The sequence below is a fragment of the Homo sapiens genome, chromosome 3, assembly GCF_000001405.40.
Source record: "Homo sapiens chromosome 3, GRCh38.p14 Primary Assembly".
NCBI classification, from domain to species: domain Eukaryota; kingdom Metazoa; phylum Chordata; class Mammalia; order Primates; family Hominidae; genus Homo; species Homo sapiens.
Genome location: NC_000003.12, coordinates 54,449,449 through 54,470,863, shown reverse-complemented (window position 1 = coordinate 54,470,863; position 21,415 = coordinate 54,449,449). Strand labels below are relative to the sequence as shown.

Genomic DNA, 21,415 nt, shown 5'->3' with positions numbered 1-21,415 from the left:
TTAGCTCTTCTTGTTGCATTGATCCCTTTACCATTATGTAATGCCCTTATTTGTCTTTTTTGATCTTTGTTGGTTTAAAGTCTGTTTTATCAGAGACTAGGATTGCAACCTCTGCTTTTTTCATGCTTTCCATTTGCTTGGTAAATATTCCTCCATCCCTTTATTTTGAGCCTATGGGTGCCTTTGAATACAGCACACTGAAGGGTCTTGACTCTACCCAATTTGCCAGTCTGTGTCTTTTAATTGGGGCATTTAGCCCATTTACATTTAAGGTTATTATTGTTATGTAGGAATTTGATCCTTTCATTATGATTCTAGCTGGTTATTTTACCCATTAATTGATGCAGTTTCTTCATAGACTTGATAGTCTTTACAACTGGGTATGTTTTTCCAGTGGCTGGTACCAGTTTTTCCTCCTTTCCATATTTAGTGCTTCCTTCAGGAGCTCGTGGAAGGGAAGCCTGGTGATGACAAAATCTCTCACCATTTGCTTCTCTGTAAAGGATTTTATTTCTCCTTCACTTATGAAGCTTAGTTTGGCTGGATATGAAATTCTGGGTTGAAAATTCTTTTCTTTAAGAATGTTGAATATTGGCCCCCACTCTCTTCTGGCTTATAGGGTTTCTGCAGAGAGATCTGCTGTTATTCTGATGGGCTTCCTTTTGTGGGTAACCCAACCTTTCTCTCTGGCTGCCCTTAACATTTTTTCCTTCATTTCAACCTTGGTGAATTTGACATTTGTGTGTCTTGGGGTTGCTCTTCTTGAGGAGTATCTTTGTGATGTTCTCTGTATTTCCTAAATTTGAATGTTAGCCTGTCTTGCTAGATTGGGGAAATTCTCCGGCATAATATCCTGAAGAGTGTTTTCCAACTTGGTTCCATTCTCCCCATCACTTTCAGGTACATCAGTCAAAAGTAAGTTTGGTCTTTTCACATAGTCCCATATTTCTTGGAGGCTTTTTGCCTTCTTTTTCATTCTTTTTTCTCTAATCTTGTCTTCACACTTTATCTCATTAAGTTGATCTTCAATCTCTGATATCCTTTCTTCCGCTTGATCGGCTTGGCTATTGATACTTGTGTATGCTTCATGAAGTTCTCGTGCTGTGTTTTTCAGCTCCATCAGGTCATTTATGTTATTCTCTAAACTGGTTAGTCTAGTTAGCAATTCCTCTAACCTTTTTTCAAGGGTCTTAGCTTCCTTGTATCGGGTTAGAACATGCTCCTTTAGCTCAGAGGAGTTTGTCATTACCCACCTTCTGAAGCCTACTTCTGTCAGTTCATCAAACTCATTCTCCATCCAGTTTTGTTCCCTTGCTGTCAAGGCGTTGTGATCCTTTGGAGGAGAAGAGGCATTCTGGTTTTTGGAATTTTCAGCCTTTTTGCACTGGTTTTTCCTCATCTTCATGGATTTATCAACCTTTGGTCTTTGATGCTGGTGACAGACATTCGGATGAGGTTTTTGTGTGAACATCCTTTTTGTTGATATTGATGCTATTCCTTTCTGTTGGTTTTCCTTCTAACAGTCAGGTCCCTCTGCAAAAGGTCTGCTGGAGTTTGCTGGAGGTGCACTCCAGACCCTGTTTGCCTGGGTATCACCAGCAGAGGCTGCACAACAGCAAAGACTGCTGCCTGTTCCTTCCTCTGCAAGCTTCGTCCCAGAGGGGCACCCACCAGATGCCAGTCAGAGCTCTCCTGTATGAGGTGTCTATTGACCCTTGCTGGGAGGTGTCTCCCAATCAGGGGGAATAGGGTTCAGGGACCCACTTCAGGAGGCAGTCTGTCCCTTAGCAGAGCTCAAGCACTGTGCTGGGAGATGGGCTGTTCTCTTAAGAGCCGGCAGGCGGGAACATTTAAGTCTGCTGAAGCTGTACCCACAGCCACCCCATCCCCCAGGTGCTCTTTACCAGGGAGATGGGAGTTTGATCTATAAGCCCCTAACCGGGGCTGCTGCCTTTCTTTCAGAGATGTCGTACCCAGAAAGGAGGCAAGAGAGGCAGTCCGGCTACAGTGGCTTTGCTGAGCTGCAGTGGGCTCCACCCAGTTCGAACTTCCCAGCAGCTTTGTTTACACTGTGAGGGGTAAACCACCTACTCAAGCCTCAGTAATGGCAGACGCACCTCCCCCCACCAAGCTTGAGCATCCCAGGTAGACTTCAGACTGCTGTGCTAGCAGCAAGAATTTCAATCCAGTGGACCTTAGCTTGCTGGACTCCGTGGGGGTGGGATCTGCTGAGCTAGACCACTTGGCTCCCTGACTTCAGCCCACTTTCCAGAGGGGGGAAACGGTTCTGTCTTGCTGGCATTCCAGGCGCCACGGGGACATGAAAAAAACTGCAGCTAGCTCAGTGTCTGACCAAACGGCTGCCCCATTTTGTGCTTGAAACCCAGGGCCCTGGTGGCCTAGGCACCCGAGGGAATCTCCTGGTCTGCAGGTCGCAAAGACTGTGGGAAAAGCATAGTATCTGGCTGGAATGCACCATTCCTCACGGCACAGTCCCTCATGGCTTCCCTTGGCTAGGGGAGGGAGCTCCCCAACCCCTTGCACTTCCCAGGTGAGGCAAAGCCCTACTCTGCTTCAGCTCACCCTCCACGGGCTGCACCCACTGTCCAACCAGTCCCAATGAGATGACTTGGTACCTCAGTTGGAAATGCAGAAATCACCCGCCTTCTACGTTGATCTCGCTGGGGGCTGCAGACTGGAGTTGTTTGTATTTGGCCATCTTGCCAGCCACCTCCAAGAGAACCTGCTACATGCTTTTTATGTATCACTTCATAGAAACATCCAAAGACCTAGGCAGTACTTCTATTATTATCATCTCCATTTTTTGTTTCAATTTTTTAAATGTACAATTGACACATCATAATTGTACATATTTACACAATATGATGTGATGTTTTGACACATGCATACACTGTGTAATGACAAAATCAGCATAATTACCATATCCATCACCTCAAACATTCATCATTTCTTTGTGATAAGAACTTTCAAAACCTCTCTTCCAGCTACTTTGAAATATAGAATATGTCATTCTTAATTCTAATCATCCTACTATGCAATGGAACACAAGCATTTATTCTTCCTAACTGTAGTTCGTACCTATCAACCAATCTCTCCCCACTCCTCCTTCCCCTGTACCCTCCCATCCTCTGGTAACCACTATTCTCCCTCTACTTCTATGAGAACAACTTTTTACATTCCATATATGACTGAAATCATGCAGTATTTTTCCTTATGTGCCTGGCTTATTTCACTCAATATAATGTCTCCAGATTCACCCATGTTGCTCTAAATGACAGATATTATCTCCATTTTGCAGATGAGGACACCAGACTCACAGAGATGAGGCGAGGCAACTTGCCCTAAGTCTCACAATGGCTTGCCCAAGTCTCAATCAAGCTAAGACTTGAGACCCATCATTGCTGACTCAATATCTGTTACTTGGCAATCCCTGAGCTTCTCTTTCTCTTTTACTGTGTCCTTTCCACTTCCATGAGCCTAAGTGGGTTCAGGCAGCATTGATGTATTTCCAAGACTCTTCCCAGTTCCCTGGTCACACTTTACAGTTCACAGCACAGAAGGGAGCCCATGTGGGCTGTCAAGGGCAGCACACAGAGTTGGTGCCTCTTACCAGTCCCAGTTGGTTAGACTCACATTCAGACAGCATTTGATGCTTTGCTTTGAACTTATTTTCCTGGAGACAAATCATCTGACGCAATGATGTGTATCCTTTTGCCAGCCAGGACCCCTATTGTTGTTTGTCTGATATGGAAAAAATCCCACCCTGGTCTTCTCACTCAAAGACGACATACCAAAAAATATTTAACTTTTAAGTTTAAAAGTTACTTAAAGTTGATTCTTAGTATTGAGAACTGAATGGTACTTCCAGCAAGTAGGCTATAAGCCACAGCACAGCAGAACCCAGCAGGACCATCTGAACTTTTCTTTTTAAATGATCTTTGTTTCTCAACCCAAAGATAACACCACAAAATGATGAAGCAAACCTTTCAACACTGGATTGCCTACAAAATCCCAACCAACTGTCCCAAAGTTTTGAAGGACACCCACTTTTCTAGCTATACTTATAATTATACAGTGTTAGGCAACTAACAAAACTCAACGCAGCCTAGAAATCACAACATTATAATGAGATTGGTCACTTTTTACAACTATTTTATATCAGTCATACTAAGCTTCTTCTTTTGAACTTTTCCACATGTTTAAGTCCATTTTTCTTTTTTAAAAAAGTAAGTAACTTTGTTGCCCAGGCCCCTGAAAAAAATAAACACAATATATGAATAACACTTGCAATGTTACTGAGCAGCGCCAGCCATTGAGGGGAAAAACTTGGCTCGGATCAGCAAATTTTCCTTCCTTCCAAAAATAAAAAAGGCAACAACATCAGCATAATTACTGTTTTGTTTTCCTTTTCTCTGTTAGCTTGTGGGTTTCTTTACAACAATGGGTGGTATAACCAGCATTAACAGTGATATCATATAGAAAGAATCCTGAATTTAACAGTGTAAAAATTAATTTGAGACTTCTTTTAGTACTTTTTTCCAATTCTCTCCTTGATTAAACATCAAAAAAAAATTTATACAACACTCACTGTGGTAGTCAGAATTCTGAAAATGGTCCCATCCAAGATTCCTATCCCTTGATTATTCAAACACTAATCTAGGGGTATTTTGCAGATGAAATTAAAGTCTTGAGTCAGTTGACCTTAAAATACGGAGATGTGAACCCGATTCAAAAGCAGAGTTTTCCCTGGCTGGTGGCAGAAGAGAAAGTCAGAGAGATTCAAAACACAAGAAGGACTCAACACACGGTTGGTGGTTTTGAAGGTGGAGGGGACCACATGCAAGGGACAAGGACAACCAGCAAGGCAGGGGGGACCTCAGTCTCATAACCATATGAAACTGAATTCTTCCAACAGCCTCAATGAACTAGGAAGTCAATCTTTCCAGATCTCCAGATTAAGAGCCCAGCCAGCACCTTACCTTCAGCCTTGTGAGATCCAGGGCAGAAAAATCAGCCAAGCCCACCCAGACTTCTGACTTATAGAATTGGGAAATAATGAATCAGTTATTAATGTTAACGAGTTATGCAACAATAGAAAAGTAGTACATCTCTAGGTTGATGCAAAAGTAATTGCGGTTTTGGCCATTTCTTTCAATGCCAATTACTTTTGCACCAACCTGTACGCATGGCTGTGTGCTAGAGGGTTCCAAAATGGAGTGTATGCACTTGGATGTGGTCATAAGTGAGCAGTTTACCTCCCAGAACATAAACCAAGAGTACAGTAGACCACTCTTATCCACAGAGATACGTTCCAAGACTCCCAGTGGATGCCTGAAACCGCAATGGTACTGAACCCTGTATACACTATGTTTTTTCCTACACCTACGTACATATAATAAAGTTTAATTTATAAATTAGGCACAGTAAGAGATTAACAATAACTAATAAAAATAACAATTATAGCAATTACTGTAATAAAGTAATGTGAATGTGCTTGTTTGCTAGCTCTCTGTCCCTCAAATTCAAAAATAATGATCTTAAGGAAACTCAGTGAGATATAAAGTAATCAAACAGGAAATTCAATAAAATCAGGAAAACAATACATGATCTGAAGGAAACATTCAACAATGATTTAGATTTCATTAAAAAAATCTTGGAAATGAAGAATTCAATGAATGAAATAAAAATGCAACTGAATTTGTTAACGACAGACTAGATGAAGCAGAAAAACAATGTCTGAATGTGAAGACAGATCTTTTGAAATAACCCAGGCAGACCAAAAAAAAAGGAGAAGAAAAGAAAAGAAATTAAAGAAAGAAGAAAGCCTACAGGACTTATGGGATACCATAAAGTGAACAAATGTTCACATTATGGAAGTTCAAAAAGGAGAAGAGATGGGAAAAGGCATAGAAAATGTATTTAAGGAGAAGATGGCCAAATAGGAACAGCTCCGGTCTACAGCTCCCAGCGTAAGCGACGCAGAAGAGGGGTGATTTCTGCATTTCCATCTGAGGTACCGGGTTCATCTCACTAGGGAGTGCCAGACAGTGGGCGCAGGACAGTGCGTGCAGCGCACCGTGCGCTAGCCGAAGCACGGCGAGGCATTGCCTCACTCAGGAAGCGCGAGGGGTCAGGGAGTTCCCCTTCCTAGTCAAAGAAAGGGGTGACAGACGGCACTTGGAAAATTGGGTCACTCCCACCCTAATACTGCCCTTTTCCGACGGGCTTAAAAAACGGCACACCAGGAGATTATATCCCGCACTTGGCTCGGAGGGTCCTACGCCCACGGAGTCTTGCTGATTGCTAGCACAGCACTCTGAGATCAAACTGCAAGGTGGCAGCGAGGCTGGGGGAGGGGCGCTCGCCATTGCCCAGGCTTGCTTAGGGAAACAAAGCAGCCGGGAAGCTCGAACTGGGTGGAGCCCACCACAGCTCAAGGAGGCCTGCCTGCCTCTGTAGGCTCCACCTCTGGGGGCAGGGCACAGACAAACAAAAAGACAGCAGTAACCTCTGCAGACTTAAATGTCCCTGTCTGACAGCTTTGAAGAGAGCAGTGGTTCTCCCAGCACGCAGCTGGAGATATGAGAAGGGGCAGACTGCCTCCTCAAGTGGGTCCCTGACCCCTGACCCCCAAGCAGCCTAACTAGGAGGCACCCCCCAGTAGGGGCAGACTGACACCTCACACGGCTGGGTACTCCTCTGAGACAAAACTTCCAGAGGAACGATCAGACAGCAGCATTCGTGGTTCATGAAAAACTGCTGTTCTGCAGCCACCGCTGCTGGTACCAAGGCAAACAGGGTCTGGAGTGCACCTCTAGCAAACTCCAACAGACCTGCAGCTGAGGGTCCTGTATGGTAGAAGGAAAACTAACAAACAGAAAGGACATCCACACCAAAATCCCATCTGTACATCGCCATCATCAAAGACCAAAAGTAGATAAAACCACAAAGATGGGGAAAAAACAGAGCAGAAAAACTGGAAACTCTAAAAAGCAGAGCGCCTCTCCTCCTCCAAAAGAACGCAGTTCCTCACCAGCAACGGAACAAAGCTGGATGGAGAATGACTTTGAAGAGTTCAGAGAAGAAGGCTTCAGACGATCAAACTACTCCGAGCTACAGGAGGAAATTCAAACCAAAGGCAAAAAAGTTAAAAACTTTGATTAAAAACTTAGACGAATGTATAACTAGAATAACCAATAGAGAAGTGCTTAAAGGAGCTGATGGAGCTGAAAGCCAAGGCTCGAGAACTGTGAAGAATGCAGAAGCCTCAGGAGCCGATGCGATCAACTGGAAGAAAGGGTATCAGTGATGGAAGATGAAATGAATGAAATGAAGCAAGATGAGAAGTTTACAGAAAAAAGAATAAAAAGAAATGAACAAAGCCTCCAAGAAATATGGCACTATGTGAAAAGACCAAATCTACGTGATTGCTGTACCTGAAAGTGACGGGAAGAATGGAACCAAGTTGGAAAACACTCTGCAGGATATTATCCAGGAGAACTTCCCCAATCTAGCAAGGCAAGCCAACATTCAGATTCAGGAAATACAGAGAATGCCACAAAGATACTCCTCGAGAAGAGCAACTCCAAGACACGTAATTGTCAGACTCACCAAAGTTGAAATGAAGGAAAAAATGTTAAGGGCAGCCAGAGAGAAAGGTCGGGTTACCCACAAAGGGAAGCCCATCAGACTAACAGCGGATCTCTCGGCGGAAACTCTACAAGCCAGAAGAGAGTGGGGGCCAATATTCAACATTCTTAAAGAAAAGAATTTTCAACCCAGAATTTCATATCCAGCCAAACTAAGCTTCAGAAGTGAAGGAGAAATAAAATACTTTAAAGACAAGCAAATGCTGAGAGATTTTGTCACCACCAGGCCTGCCCTAAAAGAGCTCCTGAAGGAAGCACTAAACATGGAAAGGAACAACCGGTACCAGCCGCTGCAAAATCATGCCAAAATGTAAAGAACATCGAGACTAGGAAGAAACTGCATCAACTAATGAGCAAAATCACCAGCTAACGTCATAATGACAGGATCAAATTCAAACACAACAATATTAACTTTAAATGCAAATGGACTAAATGCTCCAATTAAAAGACACAGACTGGCAAATTGGATAAAGAGTCAAGACCCATCAGTGTGCTGTATTCAGGAAACCCATCTCACATGCAGAGACACACATGGGTTCAAAATAAAAGGATGGAGGAAGATCTACCAAGCAAATGGAAAACAAAAAAAGGCAGGGGTTGCAATCCTAGTCTCTGATAAAACAGACTTTAAACCAACAAAGATCAAAAGAGACAAAGAAGGCCATTGCATAATGGTAAAGGGATCAATTCAACAAGAAGAGCTAACTATCCTAAATATATATGCCCCCAATACAGGAGCACCCAGATTCATAAAGCAAGTCCTGAGTGACATACAAAGAGACTTAGACTCCCACACAATAGTAATGGGAGATGTTAACACCCCACTGTCAACATTAGACAGATCAGCGAGACAAAGTTAACAAGGATACACAGGAATTGAACTCAGCTCTGCACCAAGTGGACCTAATAGACATCTACAGAACACTCCACCACAAATCAACAGAATATACATTTTTTTCAGCACCACACCACACCTATTCCAAAATGGACCACATACTGGGAAGTAAAGCTCTCCTCAGCAAATGTAAAAGAACAGAAATTATAACAAGCTGTCTCTCAGACCACAGTGCAATCAAACTAGAACTCAAGATTAAGAAACTCACTCAAAACCACTCAACTACATGGAAACTGAACAACCTGCTCCTGAATGACTACAGGGTACATAACGAAATGAAGGCAGAAATAAAGATGTTCTTTGAAACCAACCAGAACAAAGACACAACATACCAGAATCTCTGGGACGCATTCAAAGCAGTGTGTAGAGGGAAATTTATAGCACTAAATGCCCACAACAGAAAGCAGGAAGGATCCAAAATTGACACCCTAACATCACAATTAAAAGAACTAGAAAAGCAAAAGCAAACACATTCAAAAGCTAGCAGAAGGCAAGAAATAACTAAAATCAGAGCAGAACTGAAGGAAACAGAGACACAAAAAACCCTTCAAAAAATTAATCAATCCAGGAGCTGGTTTTTTGAAAGGATCAACAAAACTGATAGATCACTACCAAGACTAATAAAGAAAAAAAGAGAGAAGAATCAAATAGATGCAATAAAAAACGATAAAGGGGATATCACCACCGATTCCACAGAAATACAAACTATCATGAGAGAATACTACAAACACCTCTATGCAAATAAACTAGAAAATCTAGAAGAAATGGATAAATTCCTCGACACGTACACCCTCCCAAGACTAAACCAGGAAGAAGTTGAATCTCTGAATAGACCAATAACAGGAGCTGAAATTGTGGCAATAATCAATAGCTTACCAATCAAAAAGAGTCCAGGACCAGATGGATTCACAGCCGAATTCTACCAGAGGTACAAGGAGGAACTGGTACCATTCCTTCTGAAACTATTCCAATCAATAGAAAAAGAGGGAATCCTCCCTAACTCATTTTATGAGGCCAGCATCATCCTGATACCAAAGCTGGGCAGAGACACAACCAAAAAAGAGAATTTTAGACCAATATCCTTGATGAACATTGATGCAAAAATCCTCAATCAAATACTGCCAAACCAAATCCAGCAGCACATCAAAAAGCTTATCCACCATGATCAAGTGGGCTTCATCCCTGGGATGCAAGGCTGGTTCAATATACGCAAATCAATAAATGTAATCCAGCATATAAACAGAACCAAAGACAAAAACAACATGATTATCTCAATAGATGCAGAAAAGGCCTTTGACAAAATTCAACAACTCTTCATGCTAAAAACTCTCAAGAAATTAGGTACTGATGGGACGTATCTCAAAATAATAAGAGCTATCTATGACAAACCCACAGCCGATATCACACTGAATGGGCAAAAACTGGAAGCATTCCCTTTGAAAACTGGCACAAGACAGGGATGCCCTCTCTCACCACTCCTATTCAACATAGTGTTGGAAGTTCTGGCCAGGGCAATTAGGCAGAACAAGGAAATAAAGGGTATTCAATTAGGAAAACAGGAAGTCAAATTGTCCCTGTTTGCAGATGACATGATTGTATATCTAGAAAACCCCATTGCCTCAGCCCAAAATCTCCTTAAGCTGATAAGCAACTTCAGCAAAGTCTCAGGATACAAAATCAATGTACAAAAATCACAAGCATTCTTATACACCAATAATGGACAAACAGAGAGCCAAATCATGAGTGAACTCCCATTCACAATTGCTTCAAAGAGAATAAAATACCTAGGATTCCAACTTAGAAGGGATGTGAAGGACCTCTTCAAGGAGAACTACAAACCACTGCTCAATGAAATAAATGAGGATACAAACAAATGGAAGAACATTCCATGCTCATGGGTAGGAAGAATCAATATCGTGAAAATGGCCATACTGCCCAAGGTAACTTATAGATTCAATGCCATCCCCTTCAAGCTACCAATAACTTTCTTCACAGAATTGGAAAAAAACTACTTTAAAGTTCATATGGAACCAAAAAAGAGCCTGCATCGCCAAGTCAATCCTAAGCCAAAAGAACAAAGCTGGAGGCATCACGCTACCTGACTTCAAACTATACTACAAGGCTACAGTAACCAAAACAGCATGGTACTGGTACCAAAACAGAGATATAGATCAATGGAACAGAACAGAGCCCTCAGAAATAATGCCGCATATCTACAACTATCTGATCTTTGACAAACCTGAGAAAAACAAGCAATGGGGAAAGGATTCCCTATTTAATAAATGGTGCTGGGAAAACTGGCTAGCCATATGGAGAAAGCTGAAACTGGATCCCTTCCTTACACCTTATACAAAAAATTAATTCAAGATGGATTAAAGACTTAAATGTTAGACCTAAAACCATAAAAACCCTACAAGAAAACCTAGGCATTACCATTCAGGACATAGGCATGGGCAAGGACTTCATGTCTAAAACACCAAAAGCAATAGCAACAAAAGCCAAAATTGACAAATGGGATACAATTAAACTAAACAGCTTCTGCACAGCAAAAGAAACTACCATCAGAGTGAACAGGCAACCTACAAAATGGGAGAAAATTTTCGCAACCTACTCATCTGACAAAGGGCTAATATCCAGAATCTACAATGAACTCAAACAAATTTACAAGAAAAAAACAAACAACCCCATCAGAAAGTGGGCGAAGGATATGAACAGACACTTCTCAAAAGAAGACATTTATGTAGCCAAAAGACACATGAAAAAATGCTCATCATCACTGGCCATCAGAGAAATGCAAATCAAAACCACAATGAGATACCATCTCACACCAGTTAGAATGGCGATCATTAAAAAGTCAGGAAACAACAGGTGCTGGAGAGGATGTGGAGAAATAGGAACACTTTTACACTGTTGGTGGGACTGTAAACTAGTTCAACCATTGTGGAAGTCAGTGTGGCAATTCCTCAGGGATCTAGAACTAGAAATACCATTTGACCCAGCCATCCCATTACTGGGTATATACCCAAAGGACTATAAATCATGCTGCTATAAAGACACATGCACACATATGTTTATTGCAGCACTATCCACAATAGCAAAGACTTGGAACCAACCCAAATGTCCAACAATGATAGACTGGATTAAGAAAATGTGGCACATATACACCATGGAATACTATGCAGCCATAAAAATGATGTGTTCATGTCCTTTGTAGGGACATGGATGAAATTGGAAATCATCATTCTCAGTAAACTATCGCAAGGACGAAAAACCAAACACCGCATGTTCTCACTCATAGGTGGGAATTGAACAATGAGAACATATGGACACAGGAAGGGGAACATCACACTCTGGGGCCTGTTGTGGGGTGGGGGAAGTTGGGAGGGATAGCATTAGGAGATATACCTAATGCTAAATGACGAGTTAATGGGTGCAGCACACCAGCATGGCACATGTATACATATGTAACTAACCTGCACATTGTGCACATGTACCCTAAAACTTAAGAGTATAATAATAATAAAATAAAATAAAAAAAGAAAATGTATTTAAGGAAATAACAGTTTAAAACGTCCTAAATCTTGGGAGAGAGATAAACATCCAGATCCAGGAAGCTCAGAAACCTCCAACAGATTCAACCAAAAAGGTCCTCTCTGAGGCACACTGTAGTCAAATTGTCAAAAGTCTGAGACAAAGAGAGAATGCTAAACACAGCAAGAGAAAAACATCAAATCACATACAAAGGAACCCTTACTAGACTATCAGTAGATTTCTCAGCAGAAACCTTACAGGCCAGGAAATAATTCGATGATATATTCAAAGTAGTAAAAGGGAAAAAAAAAAAACTGCCAGCAAAGAAAATATACCCAAAAGCTGTATTTCAGAAATGAAAGAGAAATAAAGTTTTCTCAGACAACCAAAAACTGAGGAAATTCATCATCACTAGATCAATCTTACAAAGCAATGCTTACAGGAGTGCTACACATTGAAGTGAAATGTCAATAACTATCATAATGAAAACACATGAAACTACAAAATTCACTGGTGGAGCAAATACACATAGAAGTAAGAGAAAAGAATCAAACATTATCACTACAGAAAACTACCAAACTGCAATGATAAGCAATGAGAGAAAGAAAGGAACAAAGGATATCAAAAACTTATCAAAAACCAATTAACAAAATGACAGGAGTAAGTTCTCACCTACAAATAATAACCTTAAATGTAAATGAATTAAATTTCCCAGTTAAAAGATATAGGCTGGCAGAATGGATACAAAAATACAACCCAACTATATGCTGCCTACAGGAAATTTACTTTGCATGTAAAGACCCAAAGACTTAAAATAAAGGAATAGAAAAATGATATCCATACAAATAGAAACTAAACGTGAGCAGGAGTACCTATACTTACATATTTTAAAAAGACCTTTAAGTCAAAGGCTGTAAGAAGAGACAAAGAAAGTCATTATGTAATGACAAAGGGATCATTCAGTGAGAGGATATAAAAATTGTAAATATATATGTACCCAACACCAGAGCACATGTATATATGGTTGTGTGCACATATATTTACATGTAAAGCAAATATTATTAGATCTCAAAAGATATATAGATTCCAATACAATAAAATCTGGGGACTTCCAAACCCCACTCTCAGTACTGGACAGATCATCTATACAGAAAATCAATAAAAAAAATCCAATATAAGCTGTGTTATAGACCAAACACACCTATGGACATTTACAGAAAATTTCATCCAACAGCTGCAGAAGACACATTCTTTTCATCAGCACACGTGACATTCTCCAGGACTGACCATATGTTAGATCGCAAAACAAGTCTCAACAAGTTTTTAAAAATCAAAATAATATCAACTATATTTTCTAATGACAATGTAATAAAACTAGAAATCAGTAACAAGAACTTTCAGAACTATACAAATGCATGTAAATTAAACAACATGCTCTTGAACAACAAATGGGTCAATGAAGGAATTAAGAAAGAGATTGAAAAATTTATTGAAACAAATTAAAACAGAAACACAACATACCAAAACCTATAGGATACAGCAAAGGCAGTATTAAGAGGGAAGTTTATAACAATAAATGCATACATCAAAAAAACTAGAAAGATTTCAAATAACCTAATTATACACCTCAATGAACTAGAAAAACAAACCAAACCCCAAATTAGTACATGGAAAGAAAGAAATAAAATTGAGACCAACAGAACAAAAAAAGATCAACAAAATGAAAAGTTGGCTTTTTGAAAAGATAAACAAAATTAATAAACCATTAGGTAGACTAATTAAAAAAAAAGACCCAAGTAAGCAAAATGAGAAACAAAAAAAGAATTACAGCTGATACTACAGAAATACAAACAATCATTACAGACCACTATAAGCAACTATAGGCCAAAAAACTGGAAAACCCAGAGGAAATGGATAAATTCCTGGACACATACAACTTATAAAGATTTTGCCAAGAAGAAATAGAAAACTCAAACAGACCAATAATGAACCAAGAGGTTAAAGTTGTAGTTAAAAACCTCCCAATAAAGAAAAGCCCGGGACCGAGTGGTTTCACTGCTCAACTTTTAAAGAAAAACTAATGCCAATTCTTCTCAAATTATTTCCAAGAAATGAAGAGGAGGTAGCACTTCCAAACTCACTCTATGAGGCCAACATTACCCTGTTACAATACCAGACAAGGACACAACACCAACCAAAAAAAGAAAACTATAGGCCAATATCCCTAATGAATACAGAGGCAAAAATTCTCAAAAGAATCTGTTTGCAGATGATCTTATATATAGAAAAACAACCTAAAGACTCCACCAAAACTCTTAGAACGGACAAACAATTTCGGTAAAGTTGCAGGATACAAAATCAATATATTAATATAAAAATCAGTAGTATTCCTACACACCAACAACAAACTAGCTAAAAAAGAAATCAAGAAAGCAATCCTATTTACAATTGGTACCAAAAATAAATAAAATACTTAAGAATAAATTTAACCAACAAGACAAAAGATCTCTACAAGGAAGTCTATGAACACTGATGAAAGAAATCAGGAAGACACACACACACAAAAATGGAAAGACATCCCAGCCTCATGAATATACCGAAGAATTACTTTGTTAAAATGACCATACTACCCAAAGCAATCTACAGATTCAATGCAATCTCTATCAAAATACTAATGACATTCTTCACAGAAACAGAAAATAAATCCTAAAATTTGGATAGAACCATATAAGAGTCTGAATATCCAAAGCAATCCTGAGCAAAAAGAACAAAGCTGGAGGCTTCATACTATCTGACTTCAAAATATAACATAGTACTGGCATAAAAACAGACACATAGACCAATGGAACAGAATAGAGAGCCCAGAAATAAATCCAGTTATATGGAGCCAGCTGATTTCCCACAAAGGTGCCAACAACATTCACTAGCGAAAGGACAGCCTCTTTAATAAATGGTGCTGGAAATACTGGATATACATTTGTAGAAGAATGAAACTAAACCCATATCTCTCACCACATAGAAAAAAATCAACTCAAAATGAATTAAAGACTTAAATCTTAAAATGAAATTATGAAATGAGTAGAAGAAACCATAGGAGAAATGCTTCAGGACATTGATCTGGCAAAGATTTTATGGCAAAGACCTTAAAAGCACAGACAACAGAAGCAAAAATAGACAAATGGAATTATATCAAACTAAAATACTTCTGCACAGCAAAGGAAAACAATCAATAGAGTGAAAAGACAACCTCCAAAATGGGAAAAAAAATATCTGCAAACTACTCGTCTAAAATGGATTATTATACAAAAAACTCATACAACATTAGAAAAACAAATAATCTGATTAAAAATGGGCAAATGATCTGAGTGGACATCTCTCAAAATAATCTGGCATACAAATGTCCAAATATGTTAAAAAATGCTCAACATCGCTAATCAACAGGAAAATACAAATCAAAACCACAATATCATCTCACCTCAGGATGGTTATCATCAAAAAGACAAAAAAAGCAAATGTTGGTGAGGAGGCAGAGAAAGGGGAATTCTTATACAGTGTTGGTGGGAATGTAAATTAGTACAGACATTATGGAAAACAGTATGGAGGTTCTTCAAAAAAAACTCAAAATAGAGCTATCATATGATCCAGCAATCCCCCTACTGGGTATATATCCAAAGGAAAGGAAGTCAGTATGTTGAAGAGATATCTGCGCCCCCATGTTTATCACAGCACTATTCGCAATAGCCAAGATAGGGAAGCAACTCATGTTCATCAACAGATGAATGAACAGAGCAAATGTGGAATGTATACACATTTATATACAAGTCAGCCTTAAATAAGAAAGAAATTCCGTCACTTGCTGCAACATGGATGAGCCTGAAGGACATTATGTTAAATGAAATAAGCCAGGCACAGAAAGACAAATGCTGTGTATTCTCACCCATATGTAGAAGCTAAAAAAGTTGATCCCATATAAGCAGAGAGTAGAATAATGGTTATTAGAGGTGGGGAAAGAGGGAGGTGGATAGCCAAAGGTTGGTTAATGGATACAAACATACAACCATATAGTAGGAATAAGTTCTAATGTTTCATAGCACTGTAGGGTGTCTATAACTAACAATTTATTGTATATTTTTAAATAGCTGGAAGAGAGGATTTTGAACATTTCCAATATGAAGAAATGATACATGTTTGAGGTGATGGATGTACTGATTACCGAGATTTAATCACTGTACATTGTGCACATGTATTGAAACATCACATGGTACCCCCTAAATATGTACAATTATTATGTGTCAATTATAAATGATAATTTTTGAAATACCATATGCAAAGTTATAATAATAAAAGCCAATCAGTGGTTGCCAGGAGTGAGGCAATGGGGTGAGGAGACTGACTACACCGGGGTACAAGAGAACTTTTGGGGGTGAGGGAGGGAAATGTCGTTTGTAATGATTTTGATGTTGGCTACATAAAGGAATGCATCTGTCAAAATTCATCAAATTGTACACTTAAAGTGTATGAATTTTATTGATGCAAATTATACTTTACTAAAGTTGAGTCCTCAAAAAATAAATTTAAAAAGAAACATCTTATGAAATAGTGTTTTACTGATCAGTTAGGGCTACCACATATAATTACTTGGCCAAGAATCAGTGGAGGGTGTGTGCAGATTCATAGGACTGTTAGTACTGATATTAGAGACATGCTAGTTCAACCTTTCCACCTAACAAATTAGAAGGACATCAGTGCTAGCCTGCCCAGAAGGCTCTCCCCTTCTTTTACTAACTATACACTAATTTCCATGATTTCAGCTCATGTGGTTTGGGTGTCACTGATTGCACCTCTGGATCCAGTAGAGAATATGTGACTTATGCATAAACCACACAATAAAATCGATCTCCCCAACATGTGGGGACAGGTACTTTGCACAGCTCGAACTAATAATGGGAGGGCCCAGGACTTTTGTGCAAATATTATTACAACACAGGTCCTTTTCTCTGGCATATAAGCAGTTGAGGAACTGGTGGGGACAACCACATGGACACAACTTACCTAACAGTAACACCAAGACAGAGGAAGAAGGAATTGAGAGAGCAAGAGAGAGAGCAAGAGCAAGACATTGTTTGAATCCTTGGACTGGGCCCTGCCTGAAATCTGAACTACCCATGAATATTTCACTTATGAGAGCCAAAACAGGCTCGTTTTGCCTAAGCTAGTTTGAGCTGTGTTTCTGTTAATGGCAACCAAAAAGATCTCGTTTGTATAAATGTGGAAGCAGAAAGTCCTGAGAGGGATGGTGTTTCAGGTCGAATTAAGTCCCCCCAAAAGATATGTTGAAGTCCTACCCACAGGTACCTGTGATTGTGACCTTACTTGGAAACTGGGTCTCTGCAGATGTAAAAAGTCAATTAAAGGTCATAGTAGATTATGGTGAGCCCTAAATCCAATATAACCGCTGTCCTTATAAGAAAAGGAGGCTGGGCACAGTGGCTCATGCCTGTAATCCCAGCACTTCAGGAGGTTAAGGAGGGCAGATAACTTGAGCCTAGAAATTCAAGGCTAGCATGGACAACACAGAAAGACCTCATCTGTACAAAAAATACAAAAAATTAGCTGGGTGTGGTGGTGCATACTTATGGTCCCAGCAGCTTGGGAAGCTGAGGTAGGGAGACTGCTTAAGCCCAGGAGGCTGAGGCTACAGACAGCTGTGATCATGCCACTGCACTCCAGCTTGGGTGACAGAGAGGGACCCTGTCAGAAAGAAAGAGGAGAAAGAGAGAGAGAAAGAAAAAGAGAGGGAAAGAAAGAAAGAAAAAAAGAAGACATAGAAACACAGACGAACACCGAGGGAAGATGACCACATGGAGAGGGAGGCAGAAATTAGAGTGATGCAGCAGGAAGCCAAGGCATGCCAAGGACAGCCAGCAACCACCAGAAGCCAGAAGAGGCAAGGGATAATTCTTCCCAAGAACTTCAGAGGGAGCATCGCCCTGCTGACATCTCAATTTCAGACATCAAGCCTCCAGAACCATGAAATAAATTCCTGTTGTTTTAAGCCACAACTTTGTGGTATTTTGTTACAGAAGCCCTGGGAAATTAATACAGATTTTGGTACTAGGAAGTGAAGTGCTGCTGTGACAAGTACCTAAACATGTGGCAGTGGCTTTGGATTGGGTAATGGAATAATTTTGAGATTCAAGACAGAAAAAGCCTAGGTTGCTTTAAAGAGACTGCTGGGAGAAATACAGACATTAAAGACAATTCCAGTGCGAGTTCAGAAAGAAAACTGTAGAAAGAGCTACTATCATCTTACAGAAGACACATGTGATATGGTTTGGCTGTGTCCCCACCTAAATCTCACCTTAAATTGTAATAATCTCCATGTGTCAAGGGCAGAGCCAGGTGGAGATAACTGAATCATGGGGGGCAATTTCCCCCATACTGTTCCCATGGCAGTGAGTAAGTCTCATGAGATCTGATGGTTTTATAAATGGGAGTTCCCCTGCACAAGCTCTCTTGCCTGCCACCATGTAAGATGTTCCTTTGTTTCTCCTTTGCCTTCTGCCATGATTGTGAGGCCTCTCCAGCCATGCTGAACTGGAGGTCCATTAAACCTCTTTCCTTGATAAGTTACCCAGTCTCAGGTATGTCTTTATTAGCAGCCTGAGAACAGACTAATACAATATATTTTCATGAACAGAATGTCGCTAGTAAAAGGAAGTTTAAAGGTACTTCTAGTGAGGCATTAAAAGGAAATTATGAACATGTTATTGGACACTGGAGGAAAGTTGTTAGACACTGGAGGATGCAGGAGGAAAGGGCACTGGAGGTAATCCTAGAGCTTGTGTGTATGTATTTATTGAGATACAGAGTGGTATAAAATTTGCCTTGGTATCAAATGGTAGAAAACTTGGCTGAGTTATCTTCTACCACTGGGTAGAAAGCAGAACTTATAAGTGATGACCTTGAAGATGATTTGAAAGCAAAGTGCAGAAGGTGTGGCCTAGTTTTTCCTTGCTGCTTATAGTGATATGTGAGAGGAAAGTGATAAACTGAGGATGGAATTGTTAATCAAAAAGAAATCCACACTTCGTGATTTTGAAATTTTTCAGTCTATCCAGTTAGCAAAAAATGCGATAGCACACTCTGGAGAGAACACCAAGAGCGTAACTGTACACACTTCCTATGGAGAGATTAGGCATGTGACTCGTGAACCCAATCAATCACCTAAAGAGAAGCCCGGAATAGAGATGGGATTATCCAGGAAAAATCTGTGAAGAATCTTTCTGTCTAATGGCATGAATCCACTTGACATTTGTAGAAGACTAACAAGGTTTTAAAAATACAAAAATTAGCTGAGCGTGGTGGTGTGTGCCTGTAGTCCCAGCTACTTGGGAGGCTGAGGCAGGAAAATCTCTTGAACCCGGTAGGCAGAGCTTGCAGTGAGCCAAGATTGCGCCACTGCACTCCAGCCTCCAGCCTGGTGACAGAGCAAGAGGCTGTCTCAAAAAAAAAAAAAAAAAAAAAAAAAAAAAAAAGATTATTATATCAGCAGAAAGGGACAGACATAGGATAAAATGAAGGAAGAATGAATCTGACGTCAGGGGCACAGATTCATAAGCCAGAGAAGGCAGGGCCAAGAGGTTGAGGTTGCCACCTGGTACCCAGAAGGTGGAGCCTTGAACCACAGAGAATGATTCTCAGGCCTTAAAGCCTAGTAGAGTTTGTTCTGCTGGGTTGCGAACCTACTTGGTATCCATGACTCTTTTATTCCTTCCAATTCCTCCCATTTGGAGTAGGAATGTCTATCCTATGCCAGTTCCACCATTGTATTTCAAAAGCAGATAACTTGTTTCTCAGATCCACAAATGGAGAGGAATTTTGTCCCAGGATGCACCACACCCTGAGTCTCCCTGACACCTGAATAAATGAGTTAGAAGATGAGATGTGGGACCTTTTGAGTTGATTATAATTACATGAGATTGTCTTAGTTCCTTTAGTGTTGCTATAAAGGAATACCCAAGGCTGGGTAATTTATAAAGAAGAGGTTCCTCAGGCTCCTTCCACTATGGTGGAAGGTGAAGGGGAGCCAGCGTGTGCAGTGACCACATGCTGAGAGAGGAAGCAAGAGAGAGAGGGCCGGGGAGGTGCCAGGCGCTTTTTAACAACCAGCACTCACCAGAACTAATAATGAGAACTCATCCCCTCCCCTGAACCAGGGAGGGCATTAATCTATTCATGAGGGATCCTCTCCTATGGCCCCAACACTTCCCATTAGGCCTCACCTCCAACAATGGGGATCAAATTTCAATATGAGATTCATAGGGGACAAACATTCAAACTAGAGCAGAGATTTTGGACTTAAGAGTCGATGCTGGAATGGATTAAGATGTGAAGAGATGTTGGGATTGAATGTGTTTTGCACATAGGAAGGATATGAATTTTTGGAGGCCAAAAGGCAATATGTTGTAGGCTAAATTGTGTCCCCTCAAAAAGATATGTGGAAGTCCTAACCCTAGGTACCTGTGAATGTGAATTCTATCGTTTAGAACCATGAAATAATAAATTCCTGTTGTTTTTAAGCCACTGAGTCTGTGGCACTGTGTTATGAAGGTCCTAGGAAATTAATACAGGCAGAGACTCACCTAGTTCCCCAGAGCCAATCAGTGGCAAACTGTGAACCATGAACCTGATTTGTAGATTGACTTAGCTTACAACGGGTGAGAAAAGTATTACATTGCTTAAATATTATAATTATTTCTTCCAAAAACAACTGGTGTTTCCAATTATTACATTTATATAAAAAATATCCAAAAGACGGGACAAATAGTAGAGATTGTGGACATATATTTATTTAGATACAAAGGGTATCAGTCTATTCTCACATTGCTATAAATACCTGACACTGGGTAAGTTATAAGAAAAGAGGTTTAAATGGTCCTTGCTTCTCTACAGGCTGTACAGGAAGCACAGTGGCTTCTGCTTCTGGAGAGGCCTTGGGAAACTTACAATCATGGTGGAAGGCAAAAGGGGAGTGAGGCATCTTACATGGCAGAGCAGGGACAAAAAGGTAGGTGGAGGTGCCACACACTTGTAAACAACCAGATCCCATGAGAACTATCTCAACAACAGCACCAAGGGGGATGGTGTTAAACCATGAGAAACCTCCCCCATGATCCAATCACCTCCCACCAGGCCCCACCTCCAACAATGGGGATTACAATTCAACATGAGATTTGGGTGGGAACACAGATCCAAACCATATCACAGAATGACTTAAAATTGGCAAATGAGGTTATATTTTAATTAATATAAAGAA

General features: G+C 40.2%; 1 protein-coding gene across 1 annotated transcript in view, besides 2 other annotated features; it reads right to left on the bottom strand.

Moving 5' to 3' along the window:
- Positions 1 to 21,415, bottom strand: part of CACNA2D3 (calcium voltage-gated channel auxiliary subunit alpha2delta 3) — a 952,006-nt gene that overhangs the window by 603,694 nt on the left and 326,897 nt on the right. The window lies entirely within an intron of this gene.
- Positions 5,911 to 6,410: an enhancer, noted in NCBI's record as "H3K4me1 hESC enhancer chr3:54498481-54498980 (GRCh37/hg19 assembly coordinates)". NCBI's record gives its function as "activates a minimal SCP1, AML or CMV promoter by ChIP-STARR-seq in primed H9 embryonic stem cells {active_cell/tissue: H9 hESC(primed)}" and the evidence as "EXISTENCE:reporter gene assay evidence [ECO:0000049][PMID:30033119]".
- Positions 6,411 to 6,912: an enhancer, noted in NCBI's record as "H3K4me1 hESC enhancer chr3:54497979-54498480 (GRCh37/hg19 assembly coordinates)". NCBI's record gives its function as "activates a minimal SCP1, AML or CMV promoter by ChIP-STARR-seq in primed H9 embryonic stem cells {active_cell/tissue: H9 hESC(primed)}" and the evidence as "EXISTENCE:reporter gene assay evidence [ECO:0000049][PMID:30033119]".